This window comes from Homo sapiens, chromosome 10, assembly GCF_000001405.40.
Source record: "Homo sapiens chromosome 10, GRCh38.p14 Primary Assembly".
Taxonomy (NCBI): domain Eukaryota; kingdom Metazoa; phylum Chordata; class Mammalia; order Primates; family Hominidae; genus Homo; species Homo sapiens.
Window position 1 is genome coordinate 54,262,926 of NC_000010.11, and position 26,568 is coordinate 54,289,493.

At 34.1% G+C, this 26,568-nt stretch overlaps 1 protein-coding gene across 20 annotated transcripts in view; it reads right to left on the bottom strand.

Annotated features, from left to right (window-relative positions):
* Window positions 1-26,568, bottom strand: part of PCDH15 (protocadherin related 15) — a 1,825,172-nt gene that overhangs the window by 460,155 nt on the left and 1,338,449 nt on the right. The gene's annotated exons all lie outside the window — the stretch shown is intronic.

The following is a 26,568-nucleotide window of genomic DNA, read 5'->3' on the forward strand; positions in this document are numbered from 1 at the left end:
GTGTGAGCTAGGCAGACACCATGGTTGCCAGCTGGGCTGAAAATCACGGGCTGCAAGCTCCATACTGGTGTTGCACCCATTGTGGCACTGCCCTGCCTGGAGATCCTCTACCCTTGAAATACTGCATTTTCTTTGTCTCTACACTTGAAATACTGTATTTTCTTTGTCTCATGTTGTGTTTTGAGACAGTACAACTCATACCTAAGTTGTGTATCACAGCAACTGCGGACATACCCTAAAACCTGCTCTGACTTTGGTAAGCACAGTAGACTGGTGGGTCTCTGGAGAGTTGTGTCCCTAGAGATGTAATCCTCAGTGTGGACCACTCCTGAGGGAAGGGGAGTGCAGCCTGCCAAAGCACACCATGAGATAAAGAAAATGTGGCCATGGCATCAGCCACTAAAAGGGTCACCACCAAGGCCCAGAACCAGACTTGGAGAAGGAATCATGTCTTGCCTCCATCTCCACTTCCCAGTGCACTGTTGCGGATGCAGCAGTAGCTCTTCCCATAAGGTCCTAGAAAGTGTGCACTGAAAGAAGTTGTTTCTCATGATGCTCCAGTGAGGACAAGCATGCACCAAGACCCCACCTGCCAGCTCTTACTCTTAAATCTGTCTACCAGATTGAAGTTTGAATTATAGCATCACATAAAAATACATTGCTAAAACAAGCAACATCTATGAAAGCCACTGCAGGAACCTATCTCTAACCAAGGAACATATATAGAAACTTCACCCCTGCAACTACCCAGAAATGAAGCCAATGAATCACATACACCACAGTCATACTTTCAAGGAGAATAAAAAATATAAAAGCCCTGTGATGGTTAATATTGAGTGTCAACTTGATTGTATTAAAGGATGCAAAATATTGTTCCTGGGTGTGTTTTGAGAGTGTTGCCAAAGGAGATTAACATTTGAGTCTGGACTAGGAGAGGCAGAACCACTCTCAATCTGGGTGGGCACCATCTAATCAGCTGCCAGCACAGCTAGGATAAAGCAGGCAGGAGAAGACAGAAGAGCAGACTTACTGAGTCTCCTGGCTTTCATCTTTATCCCATGCTGGATGCTTCCAGTTCTTCAGATTTTGGACTTTTGTACTTACACCAGTGGTTTGCCAGGGGCTCTCAGGCCTTCAGTCACAGACTGAAGGCTGCACATCAGCTTCCCTACTTTTGAGGCTTTGGGACTCGGACTGCCTTCCCTGCTCCTCAGCTTGCAGATGGCCTATTGTGGGACTTTAACTTGTGATTGTGTGAGTCAGTGATCCTTAATAAACTCCCCTTCAAATGTACATCTATCCTACTACTTCAGTACCTATAGAGAACTCTGACTAATACAAACCCCATCTAAATGAAGCAAATTCAAAAACAAAGTATCAACTCCCGCAGATGGAAAGGAATAAGCACAAGAACTCTGGCAATACAAAAAGCCAGAGTGTTTTGTGGTCTCCAAAGCCTCTCACTAGCTCCCTAGAAAAGGATCCTAACCAGATGTAAATGTCTGAAATGAGAGACATAGAACTCAGAAGATGGATGGCAAGGAAAGTCAATGAGACATAAGATAAAATTGAAATCCAATACAAAGAAGCCAGAAAAACAGTCCGAATTTGAAAGACAACATAGCTATATTAAGAAAGAGCCAAACTGAACTTCTGGAACTGAAAAATTCACTAAATAAATTTCGAAATACGGTTGGGAGTCTTAAAAACAGACTAGGCCAAGTAGAAGGAAAAAATTCATAGCTTGAAGACTGATTCTTCAAATTAACCCAGTCTTGCAAAAATAAAGAAAAAATATTTTTTAAAAAGACAAAGCCTTCAAGAAATATGGGATTATGTAAAGAAACCAATTCTACAACTTATTGATATTCCTGAGAGAAAAGAAAAAATAACCAACTTGGAAAACATACCTGAGGAAAAATTTCAAGAAAATATTCTCAATTTTGTTAGAGATGTTGACATGCATACATCAGAAATCCAGAGAACCCCTTTTATATACTATAAAGACAGCCATCCCCAAGACACATAGTCATTAGACTATCCAAGGTTAACACAAAAGAAAAAACAAATCTCAGACACAGCTAGAGAAAAGAGCAACACTACCCACAAAGGGAACCCCATCAGACTAACTGGTCTTCTCAGAAGAAACCTTACAATCCAGCAGAGATTAGAGGTCTATTTTTAGTACTCTAAAAGAAAAGACATTCCAGAAAAAAACATTCATATTCTTCAAAACTAAGCTTCATAAACGAAAGAGAAATGGAGTCTTTCTGAGTCAAGCAATCGGTAAGGGAATTTATCACCACCAGACTAGCCCTGCAGAAATGCTTAAGGGAGTTCTAAATGTGGATGTGAAAGAACAATACACACAAAAGCAGAGTTAAGTACATAGTCCACAGACTCTATACCACAGACTCTATAAAGCAACTACACAATTGAGACTGCAAAGAAACTAGCTAACAAAACTATGGCAGGAACAAAATCTCACATATAAAAGTTAACCTTGGACATAAATGGCCTAAATCCTTCACTTAAAAGACATAGAGTGGTGAATTGGAATTAAAAAAAAAAAAAAGAATCATCCATCTGCTGTCTTCAAGAGACCCATCTCATAAGTAATGACACTCATGGGTTCAAAGTAAAGGGATAGAGAAAGATTAATCATGCAAATGGAAAACAAAAAAGAGCAGGAGTTTCTATTCTATCAGAAAAAACAGATCTTAAGCCTAAAACAGAAATAAGGACAAAAAATGTTATTGCTTAATGACAAAGGGCTCAATTCAACAAGAATAATTAACTATCTTAAATAAATATGCACCCAACATTAATTGGAGCACCAAGATTCATAAAGAAATCACTACTAGACCTAAGAAAAGATGTAGACAGCCCCTCAGTAATAACTGGGGACTTCTACACCCAACTGACAGTGGTAGATAGATTTATCGAGGCAGAAATCTAAACAAATAAATTCTGGACTTAAATTTGACACTTGACCAATTAAACCTAATACACATCTACAGAACACTCTACCCAACAAACCACAAAATATATATTTTTCTCATCTTCACATGGAACATACTCTAAGAGTGATCACATATGCAGTCATAAAGCAAGTGTCAAGAAATTAAAAAAAATATTAAATAATACCAAGCATCCTCTTGGACCACAGTAGAATAAAAATAAAAATCAATAGCAAGAGGAACTCTAAAACGCAGACACAAACACACACACACACACATACACACACACACAGAAACTAAACAAATTACTCTTGAATGACTTTCATTTGGGTAAACAAGAAAATTAAGGCAGAAATCAAAGAACTTTTTAAACAAATGAAAACAGAGACACAATGAACAAAAACCTCTGGGATGCAACGATAGCAGTTTAAAGAGGAAAAATTATAGTGCTAAATACATCAAAAAGACAGAAATATATCAAATTAACAACGTAACATTGCACCTAAAGAAATTAATAAAACAAGAAAAAAACTATATCCAAATATAGCATAAGAAAATAAATAACAAAAATAAGAACAGGACTGAACAAAATCGAGATTCAAAAATCCATACAAAGGATCAACAAAATGAAAAGTTGGTTCTTTGAAAGTTTAAACAAAATTGATAGACTGCTAGCAAGATTAACAAAAAAGAGAAGATCCAAATAAGCACAATCAGCAATAACAAAGGCAACATTAGATCCAGTCCCATAGAGATTCAAAAGATTCTCAGAGACTACTATGAACATTTCTATGTGCACAACTAGATAACCTAGGAGAAATGGATACCTTCCTGGAAACACACAACCTCTCAAGATTGAACCAGGAAGAACTTGAAACACTGAACACACCAACAATGAGTTACAGAATTGAATAAGTAATAGAAGTCCGGGACTAGATGAATTCATAGCTGAATTCTACCAGACATACAAAGAGGAGCTCATGCCAATCCTACTGAAACTATTCCAAAAAATCGAGGATGAGAGATTCTTCTCTAACTTACTGTACAAAACCTATATCATCCTGATACCAAAATATGGCAAATACACACACACAAAAGAAAACCCTAGGCCAATATATCTGATGAACATAGATGAAAAAATCCTCAACAAAGTACTTGCAAACCACATCCAGCAGCACATCAAAAAGATAATACAATATCAAGTGAACTTTATTCCTGGGATGCAAGGGTTGTTCAATATATGCAAATCAATTAATGTGATTTATCACATAAAGAGAATTAAAAATGAAAAAAATAAGATTATCTCAACAGATACGTTAAAGTATTTGATAAAATCCAACATGCCTTCATAATTAAAACCCTCAGTAGACTAGGCATTTAAAGAACATACTAAAATAATAAGAACCATCTATTGACAAACCCAGTCTACATTATACTAAATAGGCAAAAGTTGGAGGAATTCTCATAAGAACAAGAACAAAACAAGAATATCCACTTTTACCACTCTTATTCAACTTAATACTTGAAGCCCTAGCCAGAATGATCGACCAACAGCAAGAAATAATAGACATCCAAATAGGAAAAGAGGAAGTTAAATTTTATTTCTTCACTGATGATAGGATTCTATACCTAGAAAACCCTAATGATTCTGACCAAAGACGCCTAAAGTTGATTAAAAATTTCAGTAAAGTTTTAAGATAGGCAATCAACATACAAAAAGCAGTAGTATTTCTATACAATGCAATGTTCAAACTGAGAACCAAATCAAGAACACAATCCCATTTATGAGAGCCACAAGAGAAAAAAATGAAATACTTAGGAATACCTCTAACCAAGGAGGTGAAAGATCTCTTTAAGTCGAACTACAAAACACTGCTGAATGAAATCATAGATGACACAAACAAATGGAAAAATATTACATGCTTATAGATTGGAAGATTCAACATCATTAAAATGTCTTTACTGCCCGAAGCAATCTACAAATTCAATGCAGTTCCTATGAAACTGCCAAAATCATTTTTTACACAGAATTAGAAAATTGATTCTAAAATTTATATTTAACTAAAAAAGAGCCTGAATAGCCAACACAATCTTAAGCTAAAAGAACACAGACAGGGGCAACACATTACCTGACTTCAACCTATACTACAAGGCTACAATAACCAAAATAGCATGGTATGGGTACAAAAATAGACACATAGACCAATGGAACAGAATAGAGAATCCAGAAATGAGGCCTCATTCCTACAACCAACTGATCTTTAACATAATTGATAAAAATGCAATAGGGAAAGGATACCCTATTCAATTAATAGTGCTGGGAAAACTGGCTAACCATATTCAGAAGAATGAAATTAGGCTCCTGTCTCTGACCATATAAAAAAATTAACTCAAGATTGATAAAAGACTTAAATGTAAAACTTTAAACTATAAGAAGCCTAGAATTAGACCTAAGAAACTCTTTTGGACATTGACGTAGGCAAAGAATTTATGACTAAGTACTAAAACACAAAAGCAACAAAAAACAAAAATTGACAAGTGAGACCAAATTAAACTAAAGAGCTTCTGCACAGCACTTGCATGTTCTATTGCAAATATGAAATAGCAAAGGCATGGAATCAACATTGGTTTCCAACAATGGTGGATTGTATAAAGAAACTGTGATGCATATATACCATGGAATACTATGCATCCAGAAGAAAGAATGAAATCCTTTCCTTTGCAGTAACATGGATGTGCCTGGATGCCATTATGCTAAGCAGATGCTGGGACACAAGAAAAATCTTTAAGATATGTCACTGCTTCTTATCAATAATAATGTTCTAGTGAGTAACAAGAGTTAAGAACACCACTAATTATAGTACTGTAAATATAATTACAGTTCTAATAAGACATACACACACAGAGAACAATTTTGTCTGGTGGTTGAGGAAATCTTCATTGATTTAAGATATTTTTTGATGAACAGGATTTTTCAATAACTATCAGACGAAGAATGTCTATGACTTATTTTTAAAAACTATTTTCTTCTCTGCCTTGCATATCTGACATTTTCATCTCCTATCTTCCTTGAATACAATATAGAACCTGACATTTCTTTCCTTTCAAAGATCCTTAAAACATTTCCTACATTTAATCTGAATGTCTTTCTCAGTAATTTTTCTTATACAAGCAATTATGGCTACATTTTCTTAATATAATCATGAAAAAGTGAGCAACTGAAAATTTAATCTGGAGAATATATATGAAACATATTCAATTAATTCAAGTTGTTGTTAGGCTGCATATGTTCAGCTTTCAGTGAAGGTGATTGATAAATGAGAAACTGAAAGAAAACAAACCAATAGGTGTTTTTCAGAAACAGTATTATTAAAATGCATGTGCTTTCTACTGAATGAAAGCAATATAGACTTTTTCCTCGCATTGGTAGTTAGTAAGGTGTATAAAAACGACTTTGTAAAGAACAATTAATATAGGTTAATGAATCACTGTGAAGAGGGGATAACACTTTATTCTAGCAATGATCTGCAAGGTGTTAAAAGTTAAAAAAGATGAAAAACAATTGAATAGTTATTTCATCATAGTGTTTATTAAATTGATTTTCCTGTATCTGTCAAGCTTTACAGAAATGTCTTCAACAGAATAACAGTGTTGGAAGCCAAATGAAATGCATTATGAAATATGATTCTTCACTTGGTATGCAGGTATACTCTCAGGTGTTAACTCAGGCAAAGAGACAAATTCAATTTTAAAGTTCCATTTGTTAAAATTTGATGATTGTGATTAAAGACCCATAACAATTCTATCTTTGACATTTTAGTTTTTTCTTCACAGAAGCATTCTACTGCAATTTTCTTAGTTTTCTTTCCTCTTAACTGTGGTATTACCCATAAATGCTGGATTTCTCTGTTTTAAGTGTAACAAACCTACAATCAACTATTTCTGGAACACCACTTCATCTTAACAACAAGGACCCATAAATATTCTAAAAATTCAAAGTGTTTTATATAAAATGTTAAATGATACACATAATAAATTTCTAAGTAGTAATTATGATTATGCCCATAATTATACCCATAATTTAAAAATATGTTACCTGAAGTAAATTATTACATATTTTATGTTGGAAGTATTCATTTATCTTTGATCTCTTTTAACACACTGTACTAGGTGGTAATAAAATAAACTGCCTTATTGGGTAGTCATTTATCTTTTGTTTCATATTTTTTACTGGACTAATATTCCAACGCTATAGATAGTGAAATATAACATTCAAACAATTTGATAGTAGTCAATGAATCCAGTTTTTAAAAATGGGATCCATTTTCTAAAATTGAGTATATAGATACTTCATGAAATGTCTTATCATACATCCTAAACCAAACCAACCTCTTCCCTTGACTGTCTTACAGTGCGTTATTATTTTATCCACTGCAGCAACTAGCACATTTTTCAGAACCTAGTAGATATTCAGTCATTGTCTATGGAATACATGAACACATTCTAAATTTGGACAGTCATCATTCTTGGTGTTTTAAAACAAACACTTCCTGAATTGCACAAACTATTTTCTAAATAGCCCTGGGAATTCATTGAAGGAAGGTATGGGTAAGTTGGGGGTCAAACTATAAAGATGTAGGTTCTCCTCTCAAAACTTCTTCAGCGTATCCTCATTGTTGTTTGTTTGCTTGCTTGCTTGTTTTGAAAGATCTAGATATAGTCTAATGAGAGTTGTATAAATGTGATGTTCCACAATGATTCTAACTTACATGGTGCAAAATAATAAAATATTACATTCTAGCTGTTTGTGGAAAATCAGGGATAATATAAAGGATCTAGATTTTCTCTCTCCTCTCCTCCTAAGATTTATTCACTCAGCAAAGTTACCTGGTGACTACTTACTGCTAGACACTGTTTTAGATACTTGGGCTATAACGTTGATAAGAACAGGGCTTGAATTAGTGAAAAGTTTATTTTAATTAGCTGTATGGCAAAATAGGAAACTAACAAAAATAAACATATAACATGTCAGATGGCAATGGCTGCACTGAGAAAAATGAAGGAGAATAAGAAGTTCTAAATTATTATATATGACCAATATTACCAACATATTATAGAAAGAAATGAGTTCATAATGTTTATCAGAGAATTTCATGAAAATCACTAAATTTTTCCAGAAAGCCAGGCACTGATAAGGGAATAAACAAACAGATAACCGATTTTAATTTGATCTTCTCTTACAAGTGCAGCTATGATCTGCCATTGTATATAATTTAAATTTTAAAATTGTTTATATTTCTTTCACATAATTATGTTCTTACATTTTGTTTGTTTGTTTGTTTTGAGACAGAGTGTCGCTCTGTCACCTAGGCTGAAGTACAATGGTGCGATCTCGGCTCACTGCAACCTCCACCTCCCGGGTTCAAGCGATTCTCCTGCTCCAGCCTCCTGAGTAGCTGGGACTATAAGCAGGAGCCCCCACGCCCGGCTAATTTTTGTACTTTATTAGAGACAGGGTGTCACCAAATTGGCGAGGCTGGTTTCGAACTCCTGATCTCAGATTATCAGCCTGTGCCTCAGCCTCCAATAGATGCTGGGATTACAGGCGTGAGCCACTGTGCCTGGCCAATATTCTTACATTTAAAGATCAGACATCTATCAGATTCCCTTCTCCCTGCTACAAACATTGTATACTTTTCCATAGGCACAAGATTTTGTTTTCATTCAGGTTGGACTCAACAAGTATTATTTAGCAGTTCATTGCATTTATCCATTTACCCAATAGAGGAAGTATAAAAGATACAGATGAATAAAGTGTAATAATTCTTATACTCACTATTTGCCCTTACATCATGTAAGTGCTCAACTGTACAACATGTTTGTGTTCCCAAAACCTAACTGGAAGGGATAACTCAGAAAAATAGAATAAAAGTATTGTATATCTCATACATCTTCATTTTAGAATATTGTAGGGGTACAGATCAGTATAAATAAAATACTTTGGTAAGTGCCCACCACATCATCTGTTTGTCATCCTTAGAGCCAGATTATACCATTCTCATTAAGAAAGAAAACTTACTACTGTACCTCCTACCCAGTAACATATATATGATATATATATATCATATATATATATTTTATATATAATATATTATATATATATATAAAACATTTGCTACTGGTTAGGAGTAACACTCAGAAAATCATACTTAATAATGTAGTACAATTGGGTATAAATTCACCTAGTATTTTTAAATTTTATGTATATTCATATTTATATGAATCATCATTTAAAATCATGTCTACTGATCCTGATGGCATTAAAGGCATAAGAGGTACCGAGGATATTAATTTAATTTTGTTTACAGCTATGCACAGATATTTTTAGTTCACTCAGATTTAATCCAGTAGTCTATTATTTGATTAATTGTACAGCTATCAAATCATTCAGGACTCCCACTGTTTCAACAAGAGTGGAAAAATATTTTTTCATTTATGTTTATATGCAGCTATTTGTAGTCTAAATTAATATTCTGGCAATTGATGGTGAAATTAAAATTATTTCTGTCAGATATGGTAATTTGATGACAGTGGATAAGCATGGGAGTAAGAGAAAGTTTTGAGGAAGAGGGGTACTTTTTGTTTACTTAATGATTATTCAAAAGATGTTAAGTAAACATTCTATAGAATGCTACAGATAGTGGAATACAACATTGAAACAATTTAATAATGCAGTCAATGAATCCAGTTTTTAAAAATGGGATCCGTTTTCTAAAACTGAGCATACAGACACTTCATGAGATGCTTTATCACGCATCCTAAACCAAACCAACTCCTTCCCTTGACTGTCTTACAGTGCATAGGGTATCTCTACATTCTAGGAAAGGAATTATCTGTTTATATGCCACTTATAAAATCATACTTAATAATATAGTACACTTAGGCATAATTTCACTTAGCATTTTTAAATGTAAAATGTTAACGAAAAGTGTTCTTGAAAAATATTTCTGAGAATATTTTCTAAAAAATGAACAAATCGTAACACCTAAGGGATGATATCTTTCTAGTGAATTGATTATCAGAGTATAATGTGGTATGTTCTGATTATGTTACATAATATTCTGATTAGCAGAACATTTTAAATAAGTGAATTTAGCAAAATATTTAGAGGTTAAGGAAACTGTTTTACACTGACTATGTTTTCTGACCCAAATGTGAGAAAGAACCCAATAAAAAGAGGCAGCCAGATAATGCTGTTGTTTGTGAACTTAAACAGAAGCTTGCATGTAATTTATTGTTCAAAGAAAAATAAAAATAGAAGTTATACTTTATTTAGAACTTAATGACAGTGAAAATTACATAAAAAGGAAGACTACTGAATACAGCAAAAGCTGAAATTATATAGGAAATATAAATATAAACACACAAAATAAGTGTAAATTATAATGAAGTAAAAATATATCAAAGAGAAAAAAGGAAGTAGTACAGTAAAAAAAAAAAGGTGATGCTTTAAAAACTGTAATTAAATAGACAAATTTCCAGCCAGATTGATGACCAAGTAAAGAGAAAAGGAAGGAGACAGATCAAAAGACACAAGATGATGAATGAAAAGGGGGTCAGCACTTATAAATGTAGTAGCAATGTAAGCCATAATGAGCACAAGAAAACATTATCAACTTAATTTTGAATATATAAAATAGAGACACTTAAAAAAACTGAACAAAAACAACTTACTAGTTTTAAAAGAAAAAAAAGTCATCAAACATATATCCTTCCAAAAGTATAGACTTCAAAAGTATAGCCCCAGATGGGTGAACAACTTCAAAAGTACAGTCCCGGATGGGTGAACATAAACCACACTTTAAGCAAGAACTCTCAGTTATAACTGCTTGCAATTTTAGAGGATAACAGCCACACTCCTGAACCAGAGCTTGGCACCGGCTATTCCCTCTGGAACACCCTTTTATTTCCTTCTCTAAGCAAAGACATGGAATCAATCTAAATGCCCACCAGTGGTCTGCGGGATAAAGAAAATATGGTATATAAACATCATGGCATACTATGCAGCTATAAAAAAGAACAAGATCTTGTTCTTTGCAGGGATGTGGATGTAGTTGGAGGCCATTATCCTTAGCAAACTACCACAGGAAAAGAAGACCAAACACTGCATGCTCTAACTCATAAGTAGGAGCTAAATTATGAGAACACATGGACACATAGAGTGGGGGACAGCACACACTGGGGCTTTTTGGAGGGTGGAGAGTTGGAGGAGGGAGAAGACAAAAAAAATAACTAATGGTTACTAGGCTTAATACCGGGGTGATGAAATAATCTGTACAACAAACCACCATGATACGAGTTTACGTATGTAATGAACCTGCACTTGTACCCCTAAACTTAAAAGTTAAAAATGAATGAAGCCTGTCAGAACCACCCACTTTGTAGTCTTACATTTTCCCTAGTATTCCCAAACCCCTTTGCCTAGTCAACATTTTACAAAGCGCTTTTCATCTTCTACTGTGTTATAATTTATATATTTTTAGTGTATATTTTACACACTTTATTAGAATATGAGTTCCTTCAAGGTAAGGACTGTTGTTTGTTTTGTGCTCCCTGATGTATTTTCAGAGCCTAGAACAGGGCCTGGAATAAAATAAGCAGCCAACACTATGCGATGAAAATTTTTTGGTGGGTATAAATGCCTTTGATTCGAAACAAAACTCAGTTTAATTGTGTGTGTGTGTGTGTGTGTGTGTGTGTGTGTGTGTGTGTCTAAAGTCACCCTAAGCACACTGTTAATAACCCTAGAATGACTGACGTGTTCGTATTATGCAATTTTTTATTTTTTTCATCATATTGACAGATAAAGGATTCTAATTCCTATACCTTTTCAATAATGCAGAAGCCTTCATAACATTTAAATTCCATTCATGGTAAAGATTCTTAGCAAATAAAGAATAAATTGAACCTTGATCAATTACTTTAAAGTAGTTATAAAAGACCTATAGTGAATATCATACTTCAGTATTAGAAGCTTTCTCTTTAAAATAAGGAACAAGACAAATAATTGGCAACATGACTTCTTTTCAAATTGCACAGCATTAGGGATCCAAGCCATAAAAGAAAATAAAAGACATGTGGATCATAAAGAAAATATAAAACGTTACTTACAGACAATAAAGTTGTCTGCATAAAGATTATAAGAGAAAGCTAAAAACTATTACAGTCAAAAAGAGACATCAGCAAGCTTGGTGGAAACAAAACAAACAAGTACAAGTTGTCAGTGACCTTTCAACAACCAATTAGGAAAAAAATATATATATACGTTAAATCTTAACACTGAAAAGCAACAAAAATATGGAAACAGTGCTTCTTATATGCCAGATTCTGATTGAAATATTTTACAAGTTTAACTCATTTAATTTTCCCAGTGATTCTTGAGGTAGAGGCCATATTTTTCTTAACTTTAATAGATGCAGAAACTGAAGCACAGAGAGCACTTGACTTGCCTAAGGTAAAAGTTAAAAGGCGGCAGATGTAGAATTCATTCACAACAATCTAGATCCAGAGTATTTCTTGTGCCCCTGATGATATGCCAATTCTCTGGACTCTATCACTAACTCTATTAAATGATCAAGAACTTGAAAGAAAAAAATATTTAAATTAGTCCATGAACAGGAAATGTCCAAGTCATAAACCTAGTAATATTTCCCAAAGATAATGCTTAATAGTGGTGTCATTACAACCAAAATACTAAAAAAATGTGCAAGCCAATCTCAAATATGTGGGAGAGAAAACCCAATACTAATTTGAAGAGGATAAAAGAGCAAGGCATCTCCCTTGCTGACAGAAAGGCTTCTTATAACTACAACATTCATACTGAAATGCTATTATACTAGATCTAGCACTGAAACAATCCAGGCCACTACAAATGAATGAAAAATGAGTCCAGAAAAACACAGATCCATATATGAAAATTTGTTTTATAACAGAAATTGCATTAACAAATCAGAGGTTAAATTTTAAAAACCATAAAATATTTCAGACAATTAATTATTTATGTGGAAAAAAGTAAAGTTGACTCATTATCCTGCCCAGTACACAAAAATCAATTCCAGGTGGACTTAAAAACATAATGCAAAAGCAAAACTTTAACATAATTACCAAAAATGTAAGTCATCATCTTTATGGTATTTAAATAAAAAAAAGACTTCTTTAAAAAGACACAAAGAAAGCAAAACCCATAAAGAGAAAAACTGATACTCTTGAAGATGTTCAAGTTTAAAACTCATGCAAAATAGCACCAAAAACAAGGTGAAAAGGAAGCTTCACAGAGGTACTAGATAATTCTGCTATGTTTAACTAGCAAATAATTAGTATCCAGAATAAATAAGAAAGCAATACATCACTAAGAAAGTGACACACAACCCTATAGAAAAATGGGAAAAAATATGAATTGGTAATTCACAAAAGAGAAAATCCAACTGAATACTAAATATTATAAGAGAATGTTGAACAAGTCAAACTATTAAAGCAATACAAATTAAATTGCCAATAACATTATTTTATTCCCATCCTATTGAAAACAATTAAAAATTCTGAATACCATGTGGTGGTGAAAATGTGATTTCATGAGTATATAGCAATTTGGACAGCAAACTGACAGCATGTGAGATAGTTGATGATATTCATATGACCCAGAAATTCCACTATTCTAGAAAATAATCTTGTACATATATATAATAAAATCTATATAAGAATGTATACTGCAACATTTTAAAATTCAATTAAAGATTAGAAAAGCTCTAAATGTATCAAAACAAAGAACTTGAAAAACAGATTATAAATAAATTTATACAGTGGAAGTCAGTAAACTGATAAATCACAAAAACATAAGTTTGAGTAACAACATCAAGTTGCAGTAGACATGTTCAGTATATCATTTCCACAAATTAACAAAATAAATAGTGCTATATTTTTATGGCTATAACACATAAAGGAAATATACATATGACTTTCTAGATAGGTATTATTTCTTGTATCTACAAGTAGAAAATGGGGTTGCGCAGAGAGGGTGATAGCTACAATTGCTTCTGTAATTATTCTCTTTAAAATGATCTGACTCACAAACTTAAGAGCTGGTGGAAATTCAGCACGTTTTTTTTCCTCTTTTTCTCTCCCTGAAAAGCATGGAGGTGTTGTCACTCTCTTCCTGAGTCCCTCAGTGAGCAGACGTAGAGAAAAATACCCTAACTGATCTGGAAGTGGAAGATTTAAGTTAAATAACCTTCAGGAAAAAAGGCCTTAAACTGTTTTAAGGCACTAATATTAAGGTGGTTTCATTGTTACAGGATAACCTAGCATACGCTGACTGCTATTAGAATTCCTGCCATGAATCCTAAAATATATGATATAGTCTTAGTGATCATTGGGTGAGTGGCAAAGCAACTATAACTAAAGCTGAAAGCATGGTAATACATCTTCCGCAGTGACAGGATATTTGATAAGACTTTCACCAGCAAAAATATGGAAGGTACATGACATTCCTAATAAAATTGTAGTTCCAAGAGAAGGATGGCCAGATTTAGCAAATAAAATTGCAAGGCATTCAGTTAAATTTGATTTCCAGATATAAAACAGATATTATTGTTTAGTAAAATTTCCATGTGATATTATACTAAATGATTATACATATTTGTACTAAAGAAAAACAGTGTTGTTTACCCGAAATTCAAATTTAACTGGTTTTCTGTGTTTTACCTGGCAATCCCATCAAGAGGGAGACGTTGTGAAATAGAAAAGTAGCAATATTTCTTGGTTACTATAAAAGTTATTTAACAAGACTTTATAAGGGAACATGAAGTCAGAGAAGGGGGCAAAACACTAGTCATTTTAAAAACTAGGTGGGGAAATTTGGAAGTAGAGGTGACCAGATTTCACAGAAGATTGTAGGGTGAGAGGAGTATAGAGGAAGCCAATATAATACATCAAGGTTTATGGTTTGAAAAATGGAAAGATGGAATATCAATTACCTGAAATGAAGAAAATAGCACACATTTGTAATTTGAGTTGCTTATTAGCACCCAACTAGAGATATCAAATAGATAGTTGAATATCTACATCTTTGAATTCAGGAGAGAGATTCAAACTGAAGACATAAATATGGACATTGACAGCATATAGATGACAGTATACTAAGTTTATAAAGATAAAATAGTAATAAAAGCTAATATTAACCTCTTTTGTGTCAGTCCTTGATGTAAATTTTTTTATGTGTTAACTCACTGAGTCCCCACAATAGGTCGATGTAATTGGTTCTACTATAACTACACTCTTTAAAAATGGATATTTTAGTAAAAAGAAGGACTCAATTTATACTCACCCTCAATTTGTAGCCATTGGTGTCATCTCTAAGACAATTTTTAGTAATTGCCTAGTCAGTGAACCTTGCCATAGTCCTTAGTTATGTAAATTTATTGTATTTTTTGGAATTCCTTTTCATTAGCCATAACGCTTTAATAACATATTTTTAAAATTTTGACTTTAACATCTATATTGTAGTGAATATTTAAAGAACTTCCTCCAAGTTTAGGATACAGAAATGGGTAAATTATGTCTACTCCCTCATATTTCACTATTAAGATGATGGTAAATTAGCAGTCCAAGAGATCATGGTCCTGAAAGTACAGAGAAAAAAATAGAACCCAGTGACCCAACATAACTAAGGAGCATATTTGAGACATTGTCATTCTTGGTATTTCTGAAGAAGCACTGGGATGGAAGGGAGTTGAGATCATTTTGTCAGCTACAGCACTAAATTTTGGTCATGAATATCAAAGTGATTCCATCTTTATGAGGAGCCTGTGGAGAATGGCAACATGCTATATGTATACATTTTAGAATGGATTAATTGCCATCTGCGTACCTTTTATCAGGTTATTCTATTTGTTCAGCATGCCCCAAGATCTCTTTTGTACTTTACAAATCTGCACTTCAATTCTTCTTAGTTCGAGACTCACTTCAACCTACCGCATCCTTAGTTTTCTGCACTTACTTGTTGTTTCTAAAAAAGTATACATGATATTATACAATAAACATCTAGAATTATACATTTATGTACTATATTCACAGAAATTGGACTTGCCTTTAAGCCCTCCTTTTTACATATATTCCTGTTATTGTCTCACTGCTAAGTAATATTACTGGATGGCAAAATAAACCAAAAAACACAAATTGATTTTAATGAAAAATATCAATATTAAATATTAGCTTAAATAACACAAATAAGTAAATATTGAAATAGATGGGCATGTTAGGCTGGGCAGCTTTTTGTGGGCACAATCATACAATTTCAACTTCAAATTCCATCATATAACAGGATGTTCTATTGGTACAATATCTCCTTGTTCACATGAGGAAATTAAGTATATTGATATTCACCGAACACCAATTTTTAAATGTATTTGAAATTAATTATTTTAAGTGTCTCTCAACTCTCCCAATAGTGCACAAATATGTAGTTATGCTATATACTAATAATTAAATAACTTTGGAAACTCACAACTTCAAAAAAATGTTCGCTGTTGTGGAAAGTTTCCGCAGTAGAGAAGGGAATGTGAATGGTATCAGTCTTAGATAACAAGAAAACTACTTTACTTTGTTTCAACTCTACTCATTTGCCATCCAAATATGATAGAAGATGCTGCTCATTCCTAACAAATATTTCCAGATATCATGCATTCCTTAAAGGAGATGATACTGATTGCCCTCTCTATTTTCACTCACTTTCCCATTACAATTAGCAGCAGATTCTTTTAATTATCCCTGCCCTTCTTAAAGCAGTCTCAGATATATAAAAATTAATTGCCTGGAACTCACATCTTTATAATTTTAACCTTTTCATGCTTCACTTATTTACGGTGACATTTATCTAAAACACTTATCAGGTGACTGCGCATGGTAGACATCTGGTTTATCAGAAAAGGCAGGAGAAAAAATAAATGTAGGACATTAAGCTTGCTATGGTGCTTTGAGACTTTCCTAGAAATCGTTAGCTCATCAAAACTTGTTTTGGCATGGCAGAAAGACATGTCCCATTAAAAGGATATTAATGCAAGATCACCATTGTCATTAAACCATCATACCATATATTACACATTTATGCTGAAAATGGGTTCAAACTTTTTATTCCCTTATCCTTTAATTATTAGAAGAAACTTTGCAGATTATAGCCAGATAATTTAAAATAATAAAATCAATGTCACTTACAAGGTCACAGGATTTAGTAAAACCCTGCTACCCATTTCCTTTTAAGTAACTTCGCATTTTAGAAATGAAGACTGCCTATTCATGTGGCTTCTGTGATTTTGTTAAACATTAATTAACAAAATTTCTAGTTTTTTTTTTTTTTTCTTCTAGAGCAGTTCAGTGGAATGAAAGACCTTTTTTATCCTATGCCTCTAACCACAACCGGGTGTCTCTATCTTAAAAGATATTTATCAAGTCTCTGCTTCATATTTCCTTCTCTACACCATTACAGTCCTCAGCAAGCCCTGCTATCTCATGATCGCAAATCTTGGCCCTTTATTGTTGGTCTTCTTTCTTTCATTGCTACATGTTAGAATAAATGGTGTAAGAGAATGCTTTTATCTATTCAATTTCTTTCTCTTTGGCTCCTGACCCACTGTCTTTGTTTCAGAATAATTATCAGTGCCTATATATTACCTTCACATATGAGGCCTTTGTTCGTTTCATTCTTTCCATCTCAATTTTCTGTACATTCGTATTCTCTAAAGTCTTCATCTCTGTCAATTGTTCCCTTATCTCCCTCAAGTGGACACTGTCGGCTTTTCGTAGATGTTCCTACTCAAAAGAGATCTTGCAAGCCAGTATTTTACATTAAGTAATTGTTCTATTTCTCGACTTTTGCTGGCCTATAAATATAACACATATAAAGGTAGCCATTGCAGGCACAGTAAATTATTTGTCTATGAAATCACAATGTTTGCCCCAGTATCTTAATACAACTCTCAAATTTATATAATTTTTTAATTTAAAAATTTAAAAATAACTTTGCTTAAACAAAGGCAGTTTGTTTTCTAACTTATCTATGTGTGTATGTATATATACACAGAAATGTATATGTATACACACATATATATTCATAAATTATTGAAAGTTTCATGCAAATTTTTTACTTTGCCAATATGCCCCAAAACTTGATATGAAATTAATTATACGAAGGAGTACAGCCTTGTCTTTAATTAGCTAGAAAAATTCTCAGCCCACTTAAATAAACTGTTCCCAACTTGGGGAGATAAATTTAAATATCTTATCTTGGCAACGAACTTATAACCCTTAAAAACATTTGCTATGGCATCTATATATTATATTTCCCTTGATGTGAAAAATAAGAAACATTTCAGAAAAACCCACAATTAAAGAATATCACCTGGCATCATGTCTAAAAATGTATAACAGTAAAATAGAAAAGATTTGTGGATATGACAACAATTCTGCTTGCTTTCAAAATTATTTTTTGCTTTGTTTTTTGCAAAGCCTAATTAAATTAATATATGAATATTGAGTCTATTAATCTTCTCTCTTAAAAATTCAAAGCACTATTTTAAAGTAAATTATCTTAGGAATATTATCTAAGAATGAACTTCATGTGGTAAATACCAGCATAAGTCATTACTAAATGTGTTTAGGGTATACAATGGAAGCAGAGTCTGCTGCTAGGAAAAATTGACCTTTTGTTTTACAATTTATAATTTATTTAGTGCAGTATTTGAAAATCATATTTAGATATAACAGGTGACAAGAGAGCTCTATACTAGGAAAGATAATTTTAGTACTACCATCTATAAAAGAGACTAATAAATATGAAATGAAGATGCTATAATTAAACTGTAACTCTTGCCCATGCCAGCCCAACATAACTATTATAAAATTGTACATAACTATCAGGCTGTTAATTTGAGGTAATATTGCAGGCACTACAAAAAAAATTCAGTAACTCATCAAAACTATTTTCTTATGAAGGTAATAAAAGCTACAATACCTGCCCATGTCAATTATTTAAAGGTGTTCGAAGCAAATTTCTTAAATAATTTAATTTCTGGAGCCAGACATAACAGTTGACTTTGTGCTCTTTGACATTTACTACTACAGACTGTTGCTAAGTCCAGGCTTCAAGAACTCTCCTGCATTTATTCTTTTTAAATCAATGGTACAAATTATCTAACTAGCTATATGTGACGACAGCAGTGGTTCTCAGTTTGGTTTTAACACCACCTGGAAACCTGCAAAGTCTCAGGTTTCACCCCAGGTCTACCGAATCAGAAACACTAGGGATAAGCCCCAACAATCACTGTTTTAGTAGGATCTTCAAGTGATTTCAATGCAGGTTAAGTCTGAAAACACTGGAAAAGAGGAGAGAAAAAGAGAGAGAGAGAGGAGAGATGGAGACAAATTCCCAGACCATACACTGCACTAGAAATAGAGTGTTAGGACTTTACAACAGGTTCAAAATTTTAGAGATGAATTATAGCTGACATTTGAACACAAAGGAAAGGAGCCCATTAGTCCAGGGAACATCTCTGATTATAAACAACTTCATTTCCTGCTTAGGTATTATTCAAATGTATATTTAACAGTATAATGCTTCTCTACAATCAAGTAAAGCTCAAACAAATTTAAGATGTCTTTTTTTTTAATGTTGTATGTTGATGAGATTTAAACTAATAGAGGCTTAGCTCAATTGGTGATTAAGGTGATGAGTCTGCCCTGGAGGTGGAAATAAATATTTCATTAGACTTGTGATGAATTCTAGATAATTTTGACACTACTAGAATGATTTTGAAAGTCTGGATGATTTTTGACCAAATATAGACCCAAATACAAATATTGTGAATAAAAGTATTGCTAGGATTTAGAAACTTTAACAAGTTACATAATGTTTAAATTCATGATTTCTGTGGGTAATTTGTGGTCAGTGCTTTGGGGGGCAGAATGTTAAAGAGATTTCTATATGAGATTATGAGTAAAACTTTGTGACAAACAATTTGAAAAAATAGTTGAAAAGAAGAATTCAGTAGGTAAAGTTAAAAAAGTAGACCTTACTATGAAAAAAAGAGTAGGGATATATAGAAAATTTAGATATTACGAGTTGAATGTGTGCAGACTTCCCAAGATCTATGAATGCTATAAGGACCACTACAGTTGATAGCGTAGAGAAACTAAGGCAATATTTATGCAGTGTTTTAGAAGGCCACAGCTCCATTCCATTACTATCTGATGATATTTTAGCAAAGCTGGACTCTGCAGTATCCTTTTTTGTTTGAAGAGGAATAGTAGAAGGAGCATTTGTCACTCTTATTTCACCTTCAACTTCTCATTATTTCCCATACACGCTCCTGTTACAATTCTTGGGAAATAATTAAAATAAACTTACAGCCTTTTATATGGGTAATTTAACCATATTTACTAGTGTTTAAATGATTCAACCACTGCTAGGCTGTGTAGAAAATACAAGTACTGGTAGTTGTGTGAAAGTTAGCTGAGTTTAGATAAGAGGTGGCCTGAAAAGTCAAGTCTCACTAGAGCACTGAGATTTTAAAACTATTCTCTGGGAACTAGCTAGCTAGCTAGCTAGATAGATATAGATGTTTCTCAATAACAACAATAAAGAAAATTATTTCTTCATGTATTTATTACAATAAGCAAAATATTGACTAATAAAAACACAAGAAAGGAAAAATACTAACAAAAAACATCCTGAATACTCTATATACTAAAGTGTAATACCAAAATAAAAATTAGACACTTAGCATTTTCTGTGAGATAAAATAGACCAAGCAATGAGCCTCGCTTGATGCTTCATACACCAGGAGAGCTGGAAGGATGCACAGGTTCAGTAAAAACATGCCAAAATTAACATGAGAAGACATGATTTTATTTACTTATTTATTTATTTTTTAGAGACAGGGTCTCACTCTTTCACCTGGGCTGGGATGCATTGGCACAATCAGAGTTCACTGGAGCCTCAAGTTCTTGGGCTCAAGCCTCCTGAGTAACTAAGACTACAGGTGCATGCCACTATGCCCAAATAATTTTAAAAAAATTTTTAACAGAAACGGAGTCTCACTAAGTTGCTCAGGCTGGTCTTGAACTCCTGGCCTCAACCCATCCTTTCATCTCGGCCTCCCTAAGTGCTGGAATTACAGTCATGAGCCATGGTGCCCGGCCTAATAAATGATTTTCAATAAATTATATTTAACAAAATGGATTAGAATTAACCAAAAAATAAAACTAGTAATTCAAAGCTTTAAGGAGTGGATGTAGGTATGTATCTACGCATGGATGTCTGTTAATTTTGTTTCTTTTTAAATCAGAGAAAACAAATTTGAAAAGATGCTTTGAAAGTAGCTGCCTTCTTATTGTAATTGTTTTACCAAATAGCAAAGTCTAGTTCTTCAAAATTGTCAGAACCTGTTATTTATACTCCATTTATTCTTATGATTGGGCAATGTGTGGCACATTTAAGGATTATTTTCCAGTATATCATAAATATATTAACAATGTGACACTTTAAGGATCTAAGGAGGACTGAAAATTTTATCTGAGGAATTCGTTAGTCTATCACAGAGGTAGCTCTTTGATACCTAAGTCATCACCTTTTATAGAACGTAACATAAAGGTTGAAGTTTTCACAGAATAAGTAATACTGTGAATTTTCAGATAGAGTGTAAACTCCTCTGGGTTGGCTGGCTTTTCTGTCCTTACAGAGCTGCCCATTGTGGTCAAATTGACCACATGAGAAGTTGATGATGCAGTTATGCCATGCATAGCAACCGCAGCAGGCCTTCCTCATTCCAATGTAAATATTCATTATATGAAGCATTATCTAAGACCCTTTTGCCTTGAAAGAGAGAGTAAAAAATTAATCAGGAGTAGAGTCTCTAAAATATTCATTTCCCTGGTTCATGGAGTCATACAAGCTTCTTTATCATCTCAGCATTTTAGTCTAGTCCAAAAGCCCAAAGACTAAATAAAGTAATTGATACATGGCATCCATGAAAATAATACAAGTAAAATATGGCTTTATGTTGACTATGCAAATTTCATATGAAAGAAATTGTTTCCAAGAAACTTAACTCAATAAAATTTAAACCATAAATATTTTTCACCAATTTTATTCAATAAATACTTACTGAGAACCTACTGTTTCCTGGCCTTGTTATACTTGTTTGGAATTCATTTGAGAAGTCAACCATATAATACTTCATGACATTGGTCTAGGCACAGGTTTTTTTGGATAAAAACTTAAAAGCACAAACAGTGAAAGAAAATTTAAAGGCATCTTAACAGAAAAAAAAAACAATCAGCAGAGTAAAGAGACAACCTAAGAACAGGAAAAAATATTTCCAAACCATGTATCAGATAAGATATTAATATCCAAAATATATAAGGAACTCAAACAACTCAATAGCAAGAAAACAAATAACCTGATTAAACAATGGGCAAAAAAATCTGAATAGATATTTCTCAAAAGAAGACATCAAAATAGCCAACAGATATATGAAAAATATATTTAACATTACTAATCTTCTGGGAAATGCACATAAAAACCACAATATCATCTCATCCCAATTCGAATATTATCAAATAGACAAAAAATAACAAATAATGGCGGGGATGTAGGAAAAGGGAAACTCTATTACACTGTTTGTGGGAATGTAAATTAGTACAGTGTTTATGAAAAACAATATGGAGGTTCCTCTAAAAATTAACAATAGAACTACCATATGATCCAGTCATTCTACTACTGGGTACACATCCAAAGGAAATGAAATCAGTATGTCTTAGAGATATCCACTTCCATGTTTATTGCAGCACTATTCACAATAGCCAAGATATGAACCAACCTAATTGTTCATCAACTGATAAATGAATAAAGAAAATGTGGTATATATACACAATGGAATACCATTCAGCCATAAAAAAATAAATCCTGTTATTCAAGGCAACATAAAAGAACCTGAAATGAAATAAGCCAGGCACAGAAAGACAAATACCACTTGATCTCACTCACATGGAATTTAAAAGAGCTGATTTCATAGTAGAGAGTAAAACAGCAGTTGCTAGAGACTGAGAAGTAGAGTGAGAAGGAAAGATGGAGAGAGACTGGTCAAAAAATTCAAAGTTACATTTGCACAGGATGAATAAGTTCTGGTGCTTTATTGCACATTAGAGTGATTATGGTAAAAAGTATTGTATTGTATGTTTCAAAATACTTAGAAGAAAGAATTTTGAATGTTTTTACCACAAACAAAATGATAACTGTGTGAGATGATGGATATGCTGTATACCCTGAAAAGATTATTACATAATGTATAGATGTAGGAAACATCACACTATACCCCATAAATATGCATAATTATTATGTGTCAAAAACAAAATTTTTAAAAGTTAATCACTCTCTAATGAAAGTATCTTTTGGCTCCTAGACACCTGATTTTTTTTTTCCATTTTGCCAAAAGTCAAATTCTACATACTAAAACAAAGAATTTATTGTATCCTTTCAAAACAATATATTTTAATAGCATCTATAGATTCATCAAGCAATGATGTAATGAACACAATAAAAGCTTGAGTAATCTAACTACTTTACAATAGAAATTGTAATGTTTTTGTTTTTGTTTTGTACGTTCAATCCTCTGAAAAACATGACTCTTCCTGATTTTTTTTTCTTTTTTGAAAGGAGTCTTGCTCTATTGCTCAGTCTGGAGTGCGGTAGCACGATCTCAGCTCACTGCAACCTCCGCCTCCTGAGTTCAAGCAATTCTTCCTGCCTCAGCCTCCAGAGTAGCTTGGATTACAAGCACCACCACCTTGCCAGGCTAATTTTTGTATTTTTTTAGTAGAGACGGGGTTTTGCCATGTTGGCCAGGCTGGTGTTGAACTCCTGACCTCTGGTGATCCACCCACCTCCCAAAGTGCTGGGATTATAGGCGTGAGCCACTGTGACTGGCCAATATTTTAAATGTTAATGTCTATCATTATATTTTCTCATTCTCTTTTGCTGTACTTATTAAATGGTCTATTATCCTAGAAAATAGGTAAGAAGATGAAAAACAAACCAGTAGCATAAGATCTGAAACTGATTGATAAGTTATACATTAAATATATGATTTGATTTGCTTAAGACCTCTAGTATTTCTATTCCTTTTTTAATTTTTAGAGTTTCAAAATTTCATTATAATTTTGGTTAAATTTACTGACTTCTCAAAACTTCTAAAGTTTAATGAACTATATACCCATCAGTGTATTAAGCAGAAAAATAGTTTAGAAAATTGTCACCAAAGTATGCACTTTGTATCTGAAAACAATAATGAGGCTTCTCTCTGACCATTAATCTTGGGCTTTTATGACACACAACAATTTTACTATTTTGTTTATTTGCTTGGTTTATAGTACATGAAGACAGAAATATTATAGTTTCTGTTTCATGTAGCACATTTCTTTAAAAATGTGTTTTAAAATGCCTTTTTTTCTGCAAAACTGAATTCCAGTACCTAATTTCTCTGTTACTTTGGTGGGCCAGGAGTCCTGCCGAGAAGAATATTGATGTCTCTCTCATCAGAGGTTTTTGATAATGTCAGGTTTCCAATATATCCTAGGGGTATATTTTTACCTTTTTAAAACAAAATTTATTTTTGCCTATTTTTTTCGTTCTAAGGCTCTTTATGACAGGACTATTTAAAGCACTGAGGACAAGACAAGATGTTTATATATACTTCCTGCTGTTTAATATTCATGCAATTCTGACAAGATTAATATACTAATTTCTCTGTCATTAGTTTCATTAACAGATATTAATTATATCTGAATCTAAATGCCAAATGAATAGACAGTTGGGATTCAATTCTATTTAAGATAATCGAAGTTCTCTTTACAATCATGATTGGGGTGGCATACATACCATCTATTCTGGTTAGAGATGGACTCTGGACGCTAGATAAAACACTTGGGATTAAAACACTTATCCTAGAACTTATCATTATAGGCACTTCACATAATGGGGGAAACTGAATATTTACAATAACCTTTTGGAATAGTTGATGATGATGATGATGGGAAAGAGAGAGAGAAAGGCCAGGTGTGGTGGCTCATGCCTGTAATCTCAGCACTTTGGGAGGCTGAGGCAGGTGGATCATGAGGTCAGGAGTTCAACACCAACCTGGCCAACATAGTGAAACCCCATCTCTACCAAAAACACAAAAATTAGCCAGGCATGGTGGAGTGTCTGTAGTCTCAGCTACTTGGGAGGCTGAGGCAGGAGAATCATTTGAACCCAGGAGGGAGAGGTTGTGGTAAGCCGAGATTGTGCCACTGCACTCCAGCTTGGGCATCAGAGTGAGACTCCATCTCTAAATAAATACATAAATAAGAGAGAGAGAGAGGAGAGAGAAACATCCTTTTTTCTGGTAAAATTTAGAGACTAGATTGTCCAATGAAGATGGCTGAATAGGAACAGCTCCGGTCTGCAGCTCCCAGTGTGACTGACGCAGAAGATGGGTGATTTCTGCATTTCCAACTGAGGTACTGGTTCATCTCACTGGTTGAATAGTGGGTGCAGCCCACGGAGGGCGAGCCACAGCAGGGTGGGGTGTCACCTCACCCAGGAAGCACAAGGGGTCAAGGGATTTCCCTTTCCTAGCCAAGGGAAGATGTGACATACTGTACCTGGAAAAATGGGACACTCCCGCCCAAATACTGTGCTTTTCCCAAGGTCTTCGCAACTGGCAGACAAAGAGATTCTCTCCTGTGCCTGGCTCGTCAGGTCCCACACCCACAGAGCCTTGCACACTGCTAGTGCAGCAGTCTGAGATTGAACTGCGGGGCAGCAGCCTGGCTGGGGGAGGTGCGTCTGCCATTGCTGAGGCTTGAGTAGGTAAACAAAGCAGCCAGGGAGCTCGAACTGGGCAGAGCCCACCACAGCTCAGCAAGGCCTACTGCCTCTATAGACTCCACATATTTGGGCAGGGCATAGCTGAACAAAAAGCAGCAGGCAACTTCTGCAGACTTAAAAATCCCTGTCTGACGCTCTGAAGAGAGCAGTTGTTCTCCCAGCATGGCATTTGGGATCTGAGAACTAATAGACTGCCTCCTCAAGTGGGTCCCTGACCCCCGTTTAGCCTAACTGGGAGACACCTCCCAGTACGGGCTGACAGACACCTCATATAGGCAGGTGCCCCTCTGGGATGAAGCTTCCAGAGGAAGGATCAGGCAGCAATATTTGCTGTTCTGCAGCCTCCACTGGTGATACCTAGGCAAACAGGGTCTGGAGTGGAACTCCAGCAAACTCCAACAGACCTGCAGCTGAGGGACCTGAATGTTAGAAATAAAACTAACAAAGGAATAGCATCAACATCAACAAAGCAGAAAGGAATAGCATCAACATCAACAAAAAGGACATTTATACCAAAACCCCATCTGTGGGTCACCAACATCAAAGACCAAAGGTAGATAAAACCACGAAGATGGGGAGAAAACAGAGCAGAAAAGCTGAAAATTCTAAAAACCAGAGTGCCTCTTCTCCTCC